We start from the raw sequence: 21336 nt of genomic DNA on the forward strand, positions 1-21336 counted from the left end.
CTAAGGTAGCATAATTGTTTGTCTAATTTTTATCAAAGCAGAAATAAACTAGCTTGAGGTTTTTAAATAACAGTTTACATAACAATAAACATTCAGTTGGCTCATGATTCTGTTGTGTTCAGCTGACTTGTGCTGGGATAGACAGGTCTCTGCCAGGCTTCTCATGTATTTATGGTCAGCTGAAGATTTACTGAATGGGGCTGGGCATGCTCACATGGAGGGCTGGAAGGCTATTGGCTGATCGAGGCTGGCCTTAGCTGGGACGTGGCGGTAACTGGGCTGTATTCCAGTCAAGCTAGCCCAGGCATATTGTTTTGGTGGTGGAGGAGGTTGAAGAGTTCAAGAGTTTTAAATTAAACAAAACAAAACAAAAACAGTGCAGAGTTATAATTATCCTAATCAAAGATGCCTCAAAATTTAAGTGTATACACAGATACGCCAGAGGGAGATTCATTCTAATGTCTGCCAAAAAACAAGTTAAAGTGACAGTACAAGTTAATGAGTTGATAGTCTCTAATATATTACAATTTGGTGTATGACATATTTGGGTGTGCTAGTCTTTTAATTAAAGTTTTTAAAACATTTACAATTTATTTAAATAATGATATTTAAGACAATTTTTTTTAGGATTCTTTGGAAAAAAATTCACAATCCTCTAATGGTCAATGGAACATGACTTGAAAATGTCAGTAATTCATTTCATTGATGAAAAAACTGAGACCCAGAAAGACTAAGTGACTTGTTCGAATGCTACACTTATGAAGCTGCAGATACGTGATGAGACCCCCAACCAGCTATTACCCATCTGATCTTTTTCTAACACGCCACAAAATGTATCTATGGGTAATCCCTATGCTTTTCTGTTTAAGTAAAAATATAAAGTGATATAATACCTGGAAATAACTTGACACAGTAAACAGAAGGGTTGAGAACAAATACAAAATATTTTTTTTCTAAAATTGTATAAATAGCTGATGAACAGACTGGGCGTGATGGCTCACGCCTGTAATCCCAGCACTTTGGGAGGCTGAGGCAGGCAGATCACCTGAGGTCGGGAGTTCGAAACCACCCTGACCAACATGGAAAAACCTGGTCTCTACTAAAAATACAAAATCAGCCGAGCATGGTGGTGCATGCCTGTAATCCCAGCTACTTGGGAGAGTTGAGGCAGGAGAGTCAGTTGAACCTGGGAGGCAGAGGTTGTCGTGAGCCATTGCACTCCAGCCTGGGCAACAAGAGCGAAACTCCGTCTCAAAAATATATATATATATAAGTGTATGTTCATCAGATATATATTTTATTTATATATATATATACACACACACACTTTTGAAAAGAGATATATGTTCTATGCATTATGAGTTACTTAAGCCATTGTGTTGGCAGTACATTATATTGCAAGCTATTCAAGTCTTAATTTTTATATTTATCAGCACATAAATTTGATCATGTGTGAACAATGGAATATACGTAGTTATATGCTAGTAGATATTTACAACTGTTTCTCTGAAAACCAAAAGTAGCCATTATTGTAACGTGTATTTTTGTGATATAAATATTCCCATTATGGCTGGTTTCAAACTGCCAACATGATGACAGTGAACACAGAGCTGGGAAGAGAAGCTCACAGTAGGTTCTGGTCAGCCAGTGAGAGTCAGCTGCAGCATGTCACTCACCCTTTTTCCTAAGTTGTTTGTTGTAATGCATGCCCATCTGTATGAATTCCTCAGTAATTCAGACTTATTCATATGCATTGGAAACTTGACTGATATAGAGCTCTTCCTCAAAGATTCTTGGTTGTGTTGCTATTGTCATCATGATGCCATCTGCAGCTCTATCCCTCTCCTTACAAGGCAGCATAATGTGGTTATGCTGTAAATGTAACTTCTGAGACTATCTCCATATGTGAAAACCAGAATAATAATACCCGCCTTTTCTACTTCATCATGTATTGAATGTAAAATGCTTTACAAATAATGATTAATTTTATCTTCCCTCTTGCTTTCTGTTTTCCTTTGGCACAATACTTTTAATCCATGGCCTTAGATCTTCAAACTCAGTGTAAGTTATATTCTGAGATACTTGAATTTAATGAGATTTACCTAATGAAGACAACTTACCTTTGATTAGCTGGTAAAATCTTTTGTCTAGCTCTAAAAACGGCAGGGTTGCTGTCAGCTAACCATGTCCTAACCCTCAGCTTTGTGGTTGAATGCTTCAGTTGCTTCTTTTTCCAAATCAATGGAGCCAATTAGTTCACTGATCTTTATGAAAATGAAAATAACAAGAAGAGTTGCATTTTCTGTCTTCCTCTTACCTATATGAACATTTATCAAAACTGACCCCAGTTTGTTTTTAGTGAAGTGTCAACAGGTATGTGTATGTTTGAATGTATGTATTTGGGATAAGGAAGGCATCTGAGAGAGGACTCTATGCTTAAAAAGTAAACTTTATGGAGAAAGATTCTAATATTTCTAGAAGCTAATTCTTACTTGTGTGCTACGGACAATAGAAATATTTGGTCTATTTCACTTACTTCCCTTACCATATGTTGTTTTCCTTGCAGCATTTGGTGCTACTGTTGACTAGCTCCTTGAAATATTTTTCTTGATGGTTTCCTTGACACTGTTCTCATAATTCTCCTCCTACCTTCTCAGTTTATCCTTATCAATTGCTTTATTGGACTCCTCTTTCTTTGCCTGTCCTTAAAATACCATAAATTTTTGAATGACATTCATTTGTTTTTTCCTTCCCAATTCTGCATACCTTTCTTAGCCACACATAATCTTACCATCTTTCTGCTCCTGGAACCCCACCCTGTTTTGCCTATGGTCCCCCCATTCACTTACCATTTCTAACTGGCTGTTGCTCATGGTATGTCATGATAAGTAGGAGGAGAAAAGTGAGCTTACTAATTCTCTACTGTAACTTTACTGTAATTTCCTTGGTTCATAAGTGGAAATCAGAAATAAAGTTACCTTTAACAAAGATTAAAACAAACTTCACTGAAAAAGAATGGTATTGCCAAATTATTGTATCAGTCTTTACCAGTGTTGAGCTTTAGGTTTATTTAATTGTTACATCACTTGTTTTTCTCTACTTTTAATGACTAGTACATATGGAATAAAACAACCATGTTCTTGATGGGTGATATGGTTTGGATTTGTGTCCCCACCCAAATCTCATGTTGAATTGTAATCTCCAGTGTGGGAGGAAGGGCCTGGTGGGAAGTGACTGGATCATGGGGGTGGTTTCTAAAGGTTTAGTACCATCTCCCTAATGCTGTCTTGTACAGTTCTCCCAAGAACTGCTTGTTTAAAAGTGAATAGTACCCTCTGTCCCCTCTCTCTCCTACTGGCCATGTGAAGATGTGCTTGCTTCCCCTTCACCTTCTGCCATGATTGTAAGTTTCCTGAGGCCTCCCCAGAAGCAGAATCCTGTAGAGCCAGCAGAACCACAAGCTGATTAAACCTCTTTTCTTTATAAATTATCCAGTTTTGGGTATTTATTTATAGTAGGGTGAGAATAGACTAATATAGTGGGTATGGAAGGAAAAGGATTTTGGTGAAAAGATTTTGAAGTGAGGAAAAACAAACTTGAAAGCACATTAGACTACATCTTCTTGTCTTTACTTGGTCTCTCCTTTCTATGTCCTCTTACGGAGAACTAGGTTGGAGTTTTAGTTTTCCTTTTCTCCCAAGTGTAACTTGGAAGTCATGAAACTTCAAAATCTATCTTGAGTTTTTAGGGAGGATGAAAGCAGTTCAGAAATGTTCTCTCCTTCCTAGTCAGCTGTACTAGTGTTAATTTTTTTCATAAAGTATAATGTAAAATTGTGTCTAAAAACATTTTTAAAATGTATATCATCAATTTACTGAAAGTTATGTCTGCTTACAAATTATATAGTATCCTAGTCCTTTTCCTGGAACTGTAGTTTTGGTGGGTTTTTTTGGTACCATTCATTTATATGCTAAATGTGGTAGAAAATGTATAAAATCATAGCAGGTAAACTTTCTTGTCTGTGTTTTGACCTTGCTTTTTAAATCTGCAGTCAATTAGAGGAAAATGTTCTTAATTTCTTAGTTTCTACCAGTTACCTGCCTCTCTCAAATGCATCCCCAGAACCTAGAAGTTTATTGTGCACTGTTCTAATTTGAAAGCTGTTGTCATCTAGTTTTATTTTCTAAGACTAACGTTTAGAATCCTCTTGATTCACCCCACAGGTTTTCATTCAATACACACATTGACTATCTTCCTTATGTTAGTCACTGTGGTAGGTGCTTAGAATACAAAGTTGTGTAAGTCATGGTCCCTGTCCTCAAAAGTACCTCATCATCCAGTAGGGAGACAGGCATAAAAACAGGAAATTACATTACAGAATGATAAGTGCCATTAGAAAGGAGAGCACAAGGGACAGTGATCCAAGGAAGAGAATTAATTTTGCCTGGAGAGTAGGGAGAGCTTCTGCCTTAAGGAAGGTCGTGCTTGAATTATTCCTTGAATGATGAGTGGATTTAGTACTCTCTGTTCAAGAGTCCCAATTAACAGGTTGATACCAAAGAGGCCAGGTCTTCCCTTCAATGGAGGACATTAAAATGATTCTCAGTTAGAACATAATGTGTGTTCTGATACAGTTCCTCTGTGGAGCTAGTCCTTAAAGTTATATAAATTTGTAACTCCTAGTTTAAGGTGACTCTTGAGTTACACTTTGGGTTTTTATTTCCCTACTCTCTGCATATGGATTTTCTTCTATCACTCAATCATCATTCTCTTAATGCTTTTAAAAGGGTTATTGTGGTAGGCAGAATAATGATCCCTCCTCCAAAGATGCACCCCCAGTCTCCAGATCCTGTGAATATATACTTTACATGCAAAAGGGGCATTAAAGTGGCAGGTAGAATTAATTATTGCTAGTTATCTGACCTTAAAATAACATTATCCTGGATTAATTTGGAGGGCCCAAGGTAACCAAGGGTTCTTAGGTGTAGAAAAAGAAGGCAGAGGGCTGTCAGAATGATATGATGTGGGAAAGACTCAACTGGCCATTGCTGACCTTGAAAATGGAAGAAAAGGCCACAGTTAAAGAGTGCTGATAGCCTCCAGAAGCTGGAAAAGTCAAGGGAATGAGCTCTACCCTGAAGCCTCCAGAAAGAATGCAGCCCAGCCAACACCTTGATTTTAGCCCAGTGGACTCATTTGGACCTTTTGACCTTGAAGACTGTAAGAGAATAAATTTTTGTTATTTTAAACCATCCAGTTGGTGGTAATTTGTTACAGCAGCAATTGGAAACTAATGCAGCTGCTAAAGTCTGTCCTCAATTATTACTTCTCATCTTACACATTGCTCACACTCCATTCTGCCTCATGGCTTTACAGAGCTCCCTTGCTTCTTTATACCTCCAACTGTCTACCAGGGCCCAGGTTCTCCAGGTTCATTTGTTAATTAAGAAATCCTTGCCTAATTTCTATTTATTACTGTCTCAGTACAAACCAATATCTAGCATCTCACATTTATATTTTCTCATATTTCCTTCTAAGTTTGCCATCAGGTCTCAAATTCAAATTATTGTATGCCTTGGCTCTTGCCAATATTTCCCTCTCACCCCCCAAGCAAACTAACCTTCCTTATTACCCATTCAATCTCATTCTTCTTAGAAAGATTCTATTAATTGAAAAATAACGTGGTGCATTGGGAGCATTTCCTGATGGAACTAGGTGACTAATCCAGGGTCCAAGATTACTCCTAGTCTACTGCAAAATGAAAAAGTTCCTTACAAAGTAGTGGTAGGGGTTGGGGGAGAATAGGCAAGGGCATACATTGGTCATGTATGAACATACTTCCAAACTGACTATCTGTTTTGGGGTACATGTCCAAGTTGCTGTTCTCCCAGGCAGTTTTCATCATTCCTAACCCATGCCCATCATGGTTTGGTATACCAAGGCATGGCAGTGGGGATGTGCCTATTAAGAGAAGTATGTCTGAAAAACACTGCTATGGGAGACAAGTGGGCAAAAGTTCAAATGAGAGGAAGCTGAAGGAGAAAAAAAGTTCTTTGGGGGCAGTTTTAAACCATAGACCTGGACATTCTGGGATCTAAAGAGTTTTACTGATGAGTCACTCATGAGTGAATCAAAGCAACTCATTGCTCTGCAAAGTTCTTAGAAATAATGTGCTCTCCCCAAATTGCATCTTCTCCATACTTTTCTCCCCAAAGGAACATGTTGCTTTAAGTTACAAATCAGGAGAAAATGCCTTCCAATAATGTGCTGGTGGGAGAAACAGAATCTGAGTCAGAGTGACCCTCAGAGGTAATGTTTATTGATACATTTTAAGTTGTTGTAGCCCATGTCACTTTTCTTTTGCTGTATCTTAGAGGGAATCTAAAATACAGTCCTCATCTTCCTGTCCTTATGTTGCAGTATGTGGTTTGGTTTCTTTATTTCAGTACTTAATTTGCCTAAATTTTATCTTTTTATTTCCAGTTTCAGAAACTATCTAATGTTCTAAAAAGTGATTTTAAATGTGGGAACAACCTGGAGTCCTTGATTAAAATATCAATGGATAGTACCGATTTTTTTTTAAGTATGGTAAGGGTGGTTTTTAAAAAGTCAGCTCTATATTTCAAAAGCATGAATAAAATATTATAAGGGGAAATGATAATTTCCTGGCTGTGGCAGGAGTTGAAAGCCGGTGGCTGGGGTAGGTTGGGCACATTGTAACTGAAAAAAGAAGCCAATGAAAAAAGAACTGAAGCAGAGAGGGTGAACTAGAAATAACACAGTAGGGGATGAAGGACAAAGCATCCGTAGTCCCAGATCCACAGAAGAATGCCATGGATATTCTTAACAACAGAAAGATAATATTAAGAAATAATTTCAATTTTAAGTAAAAGTAATCAATAGGGAAAGAAAATAACAAAGGCATTATCTAGAATGATGTATCTTATAAGCTGGGAAAGGAAGAGGGACAAGGAAGGAATTTACTCATCTTGGGAACTAAAGAGTGGTAACCAGATGCTCACTTGTTCTAGGAATATAATTTTGGCCAAGTTAATCTTACAGTAAAACTCCAACCTGAGAATAATATTGATAGATATGTGTCAGACACTGGCCTATAGGATATATATGTAATCCCTGTGTTAGTTCATTCTTGCACTGCTGTGAAGACATACCTGAGACTGGGTAATTATAAAGAAAAGAGGTTTAGCGGGCTCATGGTTCTATAGGCTGTACAGGAAGCACAGCAGCTTCTGCTTCTGGGGAGGCTTCAGGAAACTTACAATCATGACGGAAGGTGAAGAGGAAGCAGGCATGTCTTACATGGCTGGAGAAGGAGCAAGAAAGAGGAGGAGGGGAGATGCTACACACTTTTAAATGACTAGCTCTCATGAGAACTCACTCACTATACAGTACCAATGGGGTATGGTGCTACCTGTTCATGAGAACTCTGCCCCCATGATCCAGTCACCTCCCACCAGGCCCTTCCTCCAACACTGAAGATTACAATTTGACATGAGATTTGTGTGAGGACACAGATTCAAACCATATCAATCCTCAAAACAGCCTTATGGGGTAGATAGTGTTACTATCATCTACATTTTTAGCTGGGAATATTGAAGCATGACTACTGGCCAAAAATGCCAGTGCTTATACGTAGTGGATATGAGATTTGAACCCAGACCATCCAACTCCAAGGTTAGCAACTGTGCCACACTGCCTTGGGGAGAGCCTTTGGACAGTGAAATTGTGGGATGATGGTTTGTTCTAGGAATGGACTGATACATTAAAGACTGAGCTGTCCTATGTCATGACAGCAATGGGATGAGAGTTGAGGAGCAAACCTTGTTTCATTGAAGCAAGGTAACAACAACATAAAAGAACAAAGACAGCCCATCAGTATTTGCAGTGTAGAACTCCATCCTAATTTTCTGGGCGTTTTAACCATTTGCATAATGCAAGGTTAGTGAGTAGAACTTGGGGAGGAGAGGAGAGGGGAGCTTGGAGCAGGATTTCAGAACCAAAGGTTCTCAGGAATTGGTGCTATGATCAGAATGGAGAGGCAGAGTCCAAGACGTGTTACTGAAACAGCAGGGGTTTGGTCTAGGTCCTGCTCCTTGCTGCACAGAATGCCAATCACTGAGATGACAAGTATTGCCAAGGAAAAAGGCTTTAATCAGGTGCTGTAGCCAAGGAGGTGGTTGCTCAGTCTCAAATTCAGCTCCCTGACTGACTAAACTAGGGCTTTATATAGCAGGGAAGAAATGTAACAATATGTAAAAAAACAGGAACTGGGTGCGAGCGGTGCAGAAGGAGGCATCTGGTGTGGTGATCTGGTGAGTTTTAGTTCTGTGATACTTTTTTGGAGTGGCCTGAAGGTCGTTTCCTGAGGAAGTGTATTAGTCTGTTTTCACACTGCTATGAAGAACCACCCGAGACTGGGTAATTTATAAAGGAAAGAAATTTAATTGGCTCACAGTTCAGCATGGCTAGGGAGGCCTCAGGAAAATTCCAATCATGGCAGAAGGTGAAGGGGCAGCATGGCACCTTCTTCACAAGGCGACAGGAAGGAGAATGAACTACCAAACACTTATAAAACCATCAAATCTAGTGAGAACTCACTCACTATCATGAGAACCGCATGGGGGAAGCCACCCCCATGATTCAATTACCTTCACCTGGTCTCTCCCTTGACAAGTGGGGATTATGGGAATTATGGGGATTACAATTCAAGATGAGATTTTGGGTGGAGACACAGCCAAACCATATCAGGAAGGAACTCAGATAAACAAATACAAGTTTCAAGCTTTAACAACAGAAGGGTCAATTTCTATGTTTATCCCATAAACAGTTTGTTCTAGGAATGAACTGATACATTAAAGATAGAGCCGTCCTCTATCATGACAGCAATGGGATGAGAATCTATGGGACTGCCTATGGGACTATTGGGTCAATTTCAGAGGGAGATCCAGGACTATGTTGTGAACAATAGCAAAAATTACCATAAAGGATTTGGATCTTTTTGAAGCTTATTAATAATAAAAGTAGCCTTGTATTACCTCTGCTGTGAAGCTTCCCACCACAGGCAATTTGGGGGCTGCCAAGTTACAGGATCCAGGGGTTACCATTCCCATAGAATATTAATCTGTCTGGATTTATGCATAAATGGCCCTTTTGACTTGTATGTGTCAGTGGAGAGGAACTTGCAGAATTTGCAGCAACTGCCCTTCCCCTTCGTGACTTTGGAAGATGGGGATGCCTGGTGTCCTCATGCTCTCTATATCTCAGAACCCTCTTGAGTTGATAAGGACTTTCCAATCAGCCTTTTTCATTATCTCCTGCCTACTTTAACTTCAGACACATTCACATTCATCAGTCTTGTCTTATCTGAACAATGAGCAGGGACTAGTACCAGGCACAATGGAAGAGGTAATATTCAGAGGCTTTAATTATATTCACACTTGAGGAGTCTCCAGAAAGAACACTTTGCAAGTCATAAACTATCAGCACCAGCGCTGCCACACACTTGTTTTTAATTATTGATGAGCAGCTGGTTTGGTTGTGGGATGCCTTTCAGGGTATCCTTCAAGTGTTAACTTTGCAGCACCATAGTCCTGGCTCTCTGGACAGAGTTGCTCTAGCCGGGTTACTTTGGTCAGAGTTAGAAGGAATAAACACTGTCAGTGTGATGCCACAAACATTCACTGAGCACGTTCTATGTGCCAGGGTTTGTTTGTGGTTCAATATTCTGTTTGGGATGAGAGAAAAATGAGCTCTGCTTTCAGGAGCTCACAGTGAAGAAATGAGGAGGAATATAGAAGCAAATTAACACAAATCAGCATGAGACGTGCTGCGGAGGAGCTACTTTAAGGGGGCAGAGGAAGGTGCGGTCAACATTTGGGGAGCTCTGATGGTCACCCAGAGAAGCAGATGCTCGAGCCGGGTTCCTCTGGTCTTATCCTTGTAGGTCTCTCCATCTGCATGGGATCCCTCTATCAGAAAGTATTGACCTTGGCTTCAGAATCACCTGGAAAGCTCTGAAAGACCTCAGTGCCTAGACTGCAGCCCAGACCAACTAACACTCCCTGGGGGTGGTACCCAGGCATCTGTATTTTTAAAAATTCTGCATGTGATATTAATGGGCAGCCGAGTTTGAAAACCACTGTCATAAATCGAGAATTCAGTAATTCAAAAATAAGAGTTAGGAAGATGACTGTATTATGGTTTGGAGACTGTTACTATATTCTGAGAGGGCTGGTAGAGAAAAAAATATTGTTGTTCAGAGGAGATCAGTGGTTATATCTAGCCAGGTTCAAATACAGGAGCATCATAGAATTTTACTAACACAGTCGGCCCTCCATATCCATGGGTTTCACATTCACAGATTCAAACAACCGTGAACCAAAAATTTTTTTTTTAAAAACCCATAAAAATATAACAGTAAAAAATACCAATAAAAACAATGTGTAGTATAACAACTCTTTACATAGCATTTATACTGGACTAGGTATTATAAATAATCCAGAGATGACTTAAAGTATATGGGAAGATGTGTGTAGGCTAAATACAAATACTGCACCATTTCATATTAGGGACTTAAGCAGACATGGATTTTGGTATCCTCTGGGGTCCTGGAACCAATCTTTGGGATTACTAAGGGATGACTCTATAGTAAAATTGGGAAAATAACATGAGCTACTTATGTTATAAATAGGCATGGGAGCTAGGCATGGGATATGAGCTGTGAAGCAACCTGAAGTTAGTGATTTTTACATATGTTTTCTATCTCCCACTCCTAAAAAATCTTGGGAAAACCTGCATCTTAAAGTATATTTAAGAAGAAACCAGAGAAGTTCCACCTAAGAATGCAGAGAAATTGCATACATTTAAGTGTCAAACTTAAAATTATGGAAATTGTTTGCAGATTGTACTATTCTATAAATCCATTTTAGATTTTTAAATTAGTTTCTAAACCTACAAATTCTTTGAAAATAGGCCACCTGGGGCTCACATATACATGATTACTTCAATTAAACAATAATGATGATAATATTGGTCATATTATATTTATAGCATATCTCAATATATCAGTACTTACTATATTTTATTTAATTCCCAGAAAAGTCTTATAAAGTAGGTAACTATGATTTTTTCCCAGTACTTAGATGAGACTATGAGGCACAGAAATGTTAAAAAAAAATTGTCTGGCTATGGGGTCCCAAGTAGCCCGAGTTGGGATATAAACCTAGTCATTCTGATCTTCTCCACTCCTTGTTCTATCTCTCTTCATTGTGAAAAGGAGTGGCTTGATGTAGTTCAAAAGGAAACTGGTTTGAGAATAAGAAGATAGGATTCCATGTCTGATTGACCTACTCTGTGATCTTGAGTTAGTCACTCAGCCTCTCTGAACCTTACTGTCTTCTTTAAACACTAAAGATCAGACATAATATGACATTACAATTTTCCTTGTAGTAATGAGTTGCAGAGGGAATGCATGTTGAAAATCACTTTAGAATCTCACAGATATGTCATTCTTCTGAAGGGCATCATTAAGACATATATGTATACACACACACGCATATACTCTCTCTCTGCGTGTGTGTGTGTATATATATAGTGTATATATATGTGTGTGTATATCTATAGTGTATATATATGTGTGTATATATAGTGTATATATATGTGTGTATATATATAGTGTGTGTGTGTGTGTATATATATATATAAAATATATATATATATATCGTGTATATATTGACAGGTACATATATATTTTTTTCCTAAAACAAAGAGGATAGGGATTCATTTTGCATTTTTGTGTAAGTTTTATAGATAACTATTTTTCTTTTGTCAGAAAATACCACTCATCTTCCCCATCCTCCTCGTAGTTGTAGAGAACTTGCATGAAAGTCAGGTTCACCAGACAGGTTTAACTTTTTTTTTTTTTTTTAACACTAACCTGTGTCCTATAGAGGATGCCCCATCTGGCTCCTTGATCCTTTGTGATCTAGATGGGTCTTTTTAGCTCTTGATCGGAAGCAGAATGGTTCTGAGACAAGCAGCTTAGACCCTTTGGGAAATTAATCAGGCAGAGGAGGCAGTTCTGAGTCTCTAACAGGTACATTAAGGAGCATTCTGAAGCTTGTCTAGCTTGACAGGAAATTGCCTGGGGGAACTCTAAGAAATCCAGACAGGCTTGGCTAAGGCAGGCATTGAAGTTTGCAGTTGCTTAGATTATCCTATATTGTTAGAATATAGAAAAACTTCAGTCCTAGAAGATGCAATCCATTTGGTACATGATATTGATGGTACTGCAGATATTAATAACAAATTAGGTGGGTACTGGAAGGTCCTCAGTGTGGCCCTACCCTCTTATAGGGTCCTTCATGCTCTTTCCCAGCCTTCTCTCCAAGCTAAACAAGACTTGTTAGACAGATATGTGTATGAAGCTAGAATAGAACTGTGGCTCTTGAGGAGTAGTGGTATGTGATTATCTCTGGTAGGTGGTAGAACAGTAGTGAGTGAGTGCCATCCAGGAGGGGGCCAGAGGGGAGCAGTGTGGCTGCCTCCTCCCTCCCTGCAGCCCCAGGTCCCACGGTCTTCACAGTCGCGGCCACTGCCCTCCGTCAGCACCTCACCATCTCTCAGGGGGACAAGTGCCACAGAATCTTGACTGTTTTGGAGGCTGTCCTTGGGCCTTCCTGGTGTCAGTCCAACCTCTTCATCACGACCAGGGCTGTCTTACCAAACACCAAGTTGGTCACCATCAGCACCCATGGATAGCAGGATAAAATCTAAACTCCTCAGCCTAACATCAAAACCCCTTCACATCTGATTTCAATCTTCCTGGTCCCCCTGGAGGGGGCTGGATCTCACAATAGTCTTGTAATAGTCCACTCTCCCATCTTGACTGATTGCTGATCTGCCTGTAGGGAGCCAGAAAAGACAAAGATGAGGAAACTGGGCCAGATGGAGACCAGTCATGCTCTTCTCTGTTTCTCCATTTTACCTGCCCCTTAGCCACCCAGACACTGTTTGCAGTGGCTCCCACCTTCTAATCTTGAAGGAGTTTACTTCTTTAAAATCCACAACTCCTGTAGTGCTTTCTCACTCTGTAATCTGTATATCCCCACAAAGCAAGAAGATTTTTGTCAAATCTGACCTTCTGTAATTTGTGTTTAAAAAACATTGAATATGAGTTTTCAAACAACTATGTATAACTCCCACTTCCAAAGGACAATCTGAAACAACTCTTATCTCCTCCTTCCTTAAGAGTCACATCAGGAGGTTTTAATGATACATTAACTCATCAAAAATATTAATTAAGCTTCTAAGATAGAACTAGAATTAAACTCAGATTCCCCACTATCTACTTCGCACAGACAGTGTTTCATGCTTGCCTCTGGCTTTACTCTGTTGGCTGCCAACCGTTGGCCCCAACGAGAGGGGGATTTACAGTGAAAATAGTGGAGCTTACATTTTAGGGCCTATGCTTTGACTGTGTCCTTCCCAAGTCTCTGCAAATAGCTATAGCAATGTGATACATGGTTACAGGTTTGTAAAGCTGGTAAAAGTGAGACATTTTAACTGCATTAGGACCAGAGTCTCTTTCTCTTCTGATTTCCCTTCTGTGATACCTCCTTTGGTGACAGGAAGTGCTAGAATAGGTATTCGTAATTTCAATTGAGGATACATTCAGTGAGTTCAGTGGGATTCATTAATGCACTTTACAATCACTCCTGTGTACAGTTAAGTTACTGTGTATGGATCATGATATTCTTACGGAGCGTCTGGAACCAGAATCTCTTGGGACAGGGCCAGAGAGGGCAGGCTTCATGAGGTCTGGGAGTAAGGCTTTCAGTTGTGTGTGTGTTTGTTGGCTTATCATTGAGTCCCCCGAACTGCATTGGCTCAGAGTAGGTGTTTAATAAATGCTCATGAAATGAATTTTTATGCACAGGAAGCCTTGAGAATGACTGTTTCTGCTTATTTAGTATCTTACAGAGCAAGACTGCAGATCAAGATTTTCCAACGTGGTGCTGACTTTTTTGAGAACAGTTAATGAGAACTAGGAAAGTCCTTGCAGACCATCCAGTCCAGCGGCTTTCAAATGGAAAATGTGAAAGGACAACAGAATCACATGGATTCTTTTCTGAACTGCTTTTTTCCAGTGATGCCATATTCTATAAGACTTCATGTGAAGGTGTGGAGGACGGGTAATGTCTGAATCTTCCAGGCAATGAGAGGGATGGTGTGAGTCTGGAAATTCTTTGTGATGGTCTGAGACTCCCCTTACTCCAGTTAAGAACACTGACTTAATTCGATCTGGTTTTTTTTAACAAATGGCCTCTGAGACGTAGAGCAGTGAGGATAAGGACTCTTACCCGGTTACAGAGTGGAGTAAGGGCTAGAACTCAACTCTTAAAAATTTCAAATGCAATGTTCTTTCTACAATATTGTGCCTACTTCTTCACTTCTGCTTATAGGCAACTTCCTTTTCCTTTAATTCTCTAATATTTGGAGGGCACGTCACAACTTATACACTTGCTCTATATGTTTTACATTGCTTCTCATGGTTTCTCATGCATAAGTATAGTATTTTCTTATATTTTAAATTTTCTAAGAACAGGTAACCTATTTTAAACTCCCCTTGCAATTATGCAGGTAACTAACACATTGATGATAAGCTAATATTAAGAGAGCAAAATAGTTGATGATTAGTTTATTAGTATCTCAAAATAATCCATTTGATGTGCTAAGGTGCTATTAGTTACAACATTTCAAGTATACATGCAATTCTTGTTAGAAATATTATCCACCTTTTGAAATACATGTTGATTAAAGACTAACATGGGCTGTGGGCATAGGTACAGTAACAGCATACCATAGGCCGGAGAAAGAGTTGACTTTGGAGGTCCAAGATCAAGAAGCAGGATGTCTAACAGGGCTCTTGAGAATTCTAGGGCAGCCGGTACTCGAAAGGCAAGATTTGATTGTGAATGATTTCATGCAACTCCGTTGGTTAATAAGCAAATCCTGCCCACACTTGTGGATAACATGGAAGCTACCTGAGCAGGTAAAGGCTAAGACAGAAGATCCATGAACAGAACTGGAGTTTTGATAATTCACCAGGAACTTGGTTACTTTGTTGTACCTTTTATGCTTTTATATTTCTTCTTCCCTTTCATTTCCATGCAATGTATTTATAACTTGTAGCTAGATTTTTAGATTACTGCCAGACAAATTCAGTCAATTTAATTAATTAGGCAAATTAAAGTGAAAATTATGTTTTAGGGGCTGTTAAAATTTATAAGACATTAGCACATTCTTCTCATGTGCTTTTATTATTATTACAAATGTTGTTTCATAATTAGCCATGTGTTAATTGTTAGCTTGGGGAATGATTTACGTGTTTAAAATTGGGAGAAATCATTTTGGCTATGGCTACCTCTTTTAATTTACTTACATATTTTTTTCCCATCACACAGTGTTTGACTTTTACAACCACATACATTTTGATTAGAACCTGAAATAATTCAGTAAAACAAGATGATGGTTTTTTGTTCTGCTCAATCTTTGTATCATAACCTTCACTTCTCAATGCTCAAATGATGGAATGAAAAGTGGACAATTCTTGACTGCATCGTGCTGCCCTTGTGTTGCTGTACTGTTATTTCACACTTGATACATTCACATTTTTTCTATTCTTATGAATTTTCTCAAAAATTGTACTCTAAAGTGCATGAGGACAGAGACTATGTCTTATTTTATTTTATTTTATTTATTACTTCAAGTTCTTGGATACATGTGCAGAATGTGTAGGTTTGCTACATAGGAATACGTGTGCCATGGTGGTTTGCTGCGCACCTATCAACCCGTCATCTGGGTTTTAAGCCCCATATGCATTAGGTATTTGTCCTAATGCTCTCCCTCCCCTTCCTCCCAACCTCCCAACAGGCTGGTGTGTGATGTTCTCCTACCTATGTTCATGTGTTCTCATTGTTCAATTCCCACTTATGAGTGAGAACGTGTGGTGTTTGGTTTTCTGATCTTGTGTTAGTTTGCTGAGAATGATGGTTTCCAGCTTCATCCATGTCCCTGCAAAGGACATGAACTCATTCTTTTTTATGGCTGCCTAGTGTTCCATGGTGTATATGTGCCACATTTTCTTTATCCAGTCTATCGTTGATGGGCATTTGGGTTGGTTCCAAGAAGAGGAGAGAAAGAGACTATGTCTTATTAATTCTATTAGGTTGGTGTCTAATTCTATTAGGTTGGTGTCTTATTAATTCTATTAGGTTGGTGCAAAAGTAATTGTGGTTTTTGCCATTACTTTCAATTGCAAAAACTGCAATGACTTTTGCATCAATATAATACATGTCTTGTAGTAGTAGTTTCCAAACTAGCCACATCAGAATCACCCAAGGTGTCTTTTAAAAAACCTAGAATCTAAGATCTCAGCTTGGGAATTCTGAAAAGTTTTAAGAAGGGTCTCAAGATTCTGATTTTTTTAAAAGCTCATCCAGATAATTTTTCTGGACAGTTGATTTTGAAATTCACTGGTCTATAGCATGAAACACTGCCTTGCATTTAGTAATTGCTCAAAGTGTTCTTTTGTTTATTTTGAAACTTACATCACTCAAGAGAGCCATGTAAACCAGGTCTAGCGTGTTTACTTCATTATTTTCTCTTCTTTTTATTTTATTTTACTCTAAGTTCTGGGATACATGTGCTAATCATGCAGGTTTGTTACATAGGTATACATAGCTTCTGCACAGCAAAAGAAACTATCATCAGAGTGAACAGGCAACCTACAAAATAGGAGAAAATTTTTGCGATCTATCCATCTGACAAAATTCTAATAACCAGAATCTATAAGGAACTTAAACAAATTTGCAAGAAAAAAACAAACAACCCCATCAAAAAGTGGGTGAAGGATATGAACAGACACTTCTCAAAAGAAGACATTTATTTTCTCTTCTTGGTGCTTTGCCTTGCTTCACTGACTACCTGACAAAAACCAATTCAGATGCATTCTTTTTTTGTTTTATGGTGCATATTGACAAAATAACCAAGACTTTTTATTGCTTCTTCAAAACTACTTGAAAAATCTGATGGTGCTTTTTAAAATTTGCATTAGCGCTTTATGGTACAAGACCACCCTGTTGCCTATGTTTTCTGGCTGGAAGTGTTGGATATATCTTGGAAGACTGATGCAAGACAAATGTCTACCCACATTGACACTGTCCTTTGGATCCTGGTGGCTGCTGCTGTTTTCAGAGTCTTCTTCCACTTTAAACATACTCTAAATGATGTATTTGTTCCAGGAAGCTATCTTATCTCTGATTACTCTCTGCTGCCTGGCCTTCTGATTGCTTCTCTTTCCAACTGCCATTTTCCAGATCATCATATGGCAGTTATCCATTCTTGGTGCATGGCCAGTCCATTGAAATTATGACAGAAAACTCTGCAGTTGTCAACTGCGTGAATGATTTGCTTTAGCATTGAGTAGTTTAGTCTCATTCCCATATTTGTTATGGGTTACTCTGTCTTGCAATTTTAAATTCAAAAAGCATTGTTTCCAGCATTGAGGAAACTTTTCAAGAAGCTTAATGTTTTGGTTGCTTAGTGTACTTAGCTTCCTAGAGGTGTGTAGAAATGTGTTCCTGGCTTATACTTCATGGGTCACGAGTAGAGTCACTAAAGTTTAGGAACAAAAAATCAAAAGATGTGGGTTGGTAGAGGATGAGTGAAAAAATAACAAATAGGAGTGAGGAATACTTAAGAGAGAGTACCGAAGAGATGGAGAGGGAAAAAAAGTACTAACTACAAAGAACCTAGAGAGGTTATCTTAAGAGGTTTTGCAGTAAGGGGATAATTCATTAAGAATATTTCAAAGATTATATCTGACAGGTGAGCCCTTGGGCCAAGAGCCCTTTGCAGATTTGGGCTGTGTCTCTTCCCCCTTTCCCCACCCCCATTCTTATTTATATCCTTTGAAATGTCATGAGAAGATTATTTCCTTTACAACCATTTTTTCCCCAATTAGTCTAATGCAGAGATTTTTAATATATGACTGGTGGATTTACAAGTTAAGCACTGGTCCTTGAATCCTCTAGAATGGTTTGTAAAATTTGTATTTTATCTTCATGTTTCTCCTCCAGGGGGAAGTCCAAAAGTTAATCATATTCTGAAAGGGATCACTGACCAGAAAACATTTCTGTTTTTCTTTTTTTCTTTCTTTCCTTTTTTTTTTTTTTGACAGAGTTTCACTCTTGTTGCCCAGGCTGGAATGCAATGACATGATCTTGGATCACTGCAACCTCCACCTCCCAGGTTCAAGCGATTCTTCTGTCTCAGCCTCCTGAGTAGCTGGGATTACAGGCGCCCACCATCACACTCAGCTATGTTTTTTTTTTTTTTTTTTTGTATTTTTAGTAGAGGTGGGCTTTCACTATGTTGGTCAGGCTGGTCTCGATCTCCTGACCTCAAATGATCCACCCACCTCGGCCTCCCAAAGTGCTGGGATTACAGATGTGAGCTACCGCTCCCGGCCCTGTTTTTTTTTTTTTTTTTTAATTAAAATTTTAGAAGATCAACTAACAGTGGACCCCATCCATGGAAACCTGTCACTGAGTAACATATTCTCCAGATAACAGTCAGCAGAGTCCTGGGAATTAGGCTGATGACAGTAGCTGGTCGCTGGGCTGATGCTTCCATCCTTTACCATTTAGTCGTTTTGGAGCTTGATCAGTGTTACCTTTTGTCTCTCATCGTCTCAAAGGAGTCTTAAACCTTTGGATGTCATTTTCCAGTTTCTTGTGAACAAAACACCAGTGACTTGTTTTTTATTTTTTTCCCTCTTTTCTTCTTTTTCACATAGGCAATTGATATCTGAGATGCTTTTCAGACTTGAATTACAGGTGCAGACCATTTGTTGTATTTAGGGTTTCTCTCCTGCAAGCTGGAAAATAGATCGTGTTTGCATTTTTAGCATTTTAAAAATGCTAGTGCATTAGCTGATTTGCAAATTATTTTGTAACTACTTGAATGTAAACATTTTTCCAGGGTCAGTTTCAGGAACACAACTTTCAGTACATACCCACCCTTAGATGACTACAGTTATCTTTAGGACTTTTGATAATGTTTACAGTTTCCTGCCTGAAAGAATTTTACTGATGTCAGGAAGTATATTCTGATACAGCTTTTAGGTCCCCTGATAACTCCCTGAGCATAGCTACGTAATCTCTCTGACAAATGGTAATTTGTCAGTCTGTGGCAGAAGCAGGATTTTCATCAGTCTGGCAAAAACTTCTGAGCTAATAAGTTACTGGTTCTGAGTTTATTCTCAAATGGGTGATAGCTGCCCATTCCTCTATTCTCTGAGTTCCTGAAGAGAATCAGCAGAAACTAAAAGTAGGAAAAGAGAGGAGATGAGATTAGTGATGAAATGTAATAAATGGAAACTGTTAAACAGCCCTTGCCTATCGATAGTGGGGTTGGCTGATGTGTCTGAGAAGGAAAAACCACAGCTTAAAATGAGTACAGCCAGGCTGGGTGTGGTGGCTCATGCCTGTAATCCCAGCACTTTGGGTGGCCGAGGTGGGTGAATCATGAGGTCAGGAGTTCGAGACTAGCCTGACCAACATGGTGAAACCCTGTCTCTACTAAAAATACAAAAATTAGCTGGGTGTGGTGGCGTGCACCTGTAACCCCAGTTACTCAGGAGGCTGAGGCAGGAGAATCGCTTGAACCCAGGAGGCAAGGAGCCAAGATCATGCCACTGCACTCCAGCCTGGGCGACAGAGTGACACTCCATCTCAAAAAAAAAAAAAAAAAAGGAAAAAAAAAGACTACAGCCATAAGTAACCATTTCACCATGGGGGAAAATTCTGTGTGTCCTTTACATAGATTTTATTGTAGAAGTTATTGCTCCAGAGATTTATATCTTGCATTTACTTATTATTTACTTATTTCATTTATGGAAAGCAGTATGAAAACCTATCTACTGTATAGAATATGTAATTGTTTGGAGTAAAGTTTTAAAAAATTTACTTTCAGACCCTGCTTGATGCTCATTAATTCCTTGTTTTCAGATTGCTTAATACCCATTTCCTATTTCATATCTTAAATTACTTCAATTATTATTCAAATTTGCCTAATGGTAGTCATTTTATCCCCCAACATAGAATAGTCATATGGATTTATGTTTATATCTATCTCTACCTCTTAGCAAATAGCCATAAGCCCATAGTAATAAATGATCCCCTTGAAAACCATAAGTTCTTTTGTTTATGTTTATCAGTGCAGGGATTAGGGCTACCAGTGAGTAAGGCCAGAGAATTGTCCAGGTAAAAGAGGTTCTGAAGATAACAAGGTTGAGAGAAGTGAGGAAGTCTGTGGATAAGGGAAGCACACCAGGTTTAGGACCTTAACAAGGAGATGGAGGAACACAGAAGAAATAAAGAGCAAAGGAGCTCAGCCAGATTAGCATCTGGAGAGGCAGACAGAAAGAATTCTGAGGCCTGGAAAACACACATAGGTAAAGATGAGTAACAAGTGTCAGAAAAGTGGCCAAGAGGGCCAGGTAGAAAAAATCAGAACCAGACCCAGTGTCCGGACAGCAGATTCAATTAGAAAATGTGCAGAAAAAATAAAAGACCATGTTAACATGTATTGTGAGCCTGACTATGATACGCTGTTTGCACTGGACCAGGATGAAGTCAGCATGAGGCAGTACTGAGCCCACAGGCAGGGAAAATAGGAGAGGCAGATGGAGCAGGAGGCCAGGCAGTGCCTGGCTCCACCTTTGGCAGAATTTCATCTGGACCTCGTTGGATTGCTTATCTTTGCATTTTCTAGACATCCTTTATCTTTTTAACTTATTGGTCAATGGCATATATATATTGCACCATGCAGCTCAAGCAACCAACCCTTTTGTACTTTTTTATTTAGAAAAAAAGTAAGACTCTGTTGGGAGGCTTTTACTGTCTGCTCTTTTCTGATTCATTTCAACTTTATTTAATCTATACAAGACCAAATAAAATGCAGCATTCTTGTCCCAATTGTAATAGATCTTATGTTGACACATTGCTGCCATTGTCCTGTGAAACGAGTAAAAGGAATTGCCGTAAGAGGGTCTTTCTGTGCCAGTTTTTCCTTCTGAGTTTTTGTTGCTTTTGGAAACATCCTCATGTGACCTCCTTTACTGATAAGATTTTAACGGGCCAAGTGCAAATCTAGGCATTACTTTAGAATTTGCAGTTTAGACATTTACTGTTGAGTTGAGTATACATACTACAGGGTATAGAGGTAAGTAATGAGACTATGTTCACATTT

At 38.9% G+C, this 21336-nt stretch overlaps 1 long non-coding RNA gene across 13 annotated transcripts in view; it reads left to right on the forward strand.

Moving 5' to 3' along the window:
• The window catches only part of LOC105375523 (uncharacterized), a 459019-nt gene that overhangs the window by 247212 nt on the left and 190471 nt on the right, over positions 1-21336 (forward strand). For 6 of the 13 annotated variants that reach the window (NR_187954.1, NR_187953.1, NR_187955.1 and 3 more), the window contains one exon: positions 13992-15640. The exons of 3 other annotated variants lie outside the window; for them this stretch is intronic. This is a non-coding gene — a long non-coding RNA (uncharacterized LOC105375523). Of the gene's footprint in view, positions 1-13991; positions 15641-21336 lie in introns of those variants that run through there. 4 more of the 13 variants (NR_187960.1, NR_187957.1, NR_187964.1 and 1 more) reach the window with 1 other exon arrangement.

Source organism: Homo sapiens, chromosome 7 (genome assembly GCF_000001405.40).
Source record: "Homo sapiens chromosome 7, GRCh38.p14 Primary Assembly".
In the NCBI taxonomy this organism is placed as follows: Eukaryota; Metazoa; Chordata; class Mammalia; order Primates; family Hominidae; genus Homo; species Homo sapiens.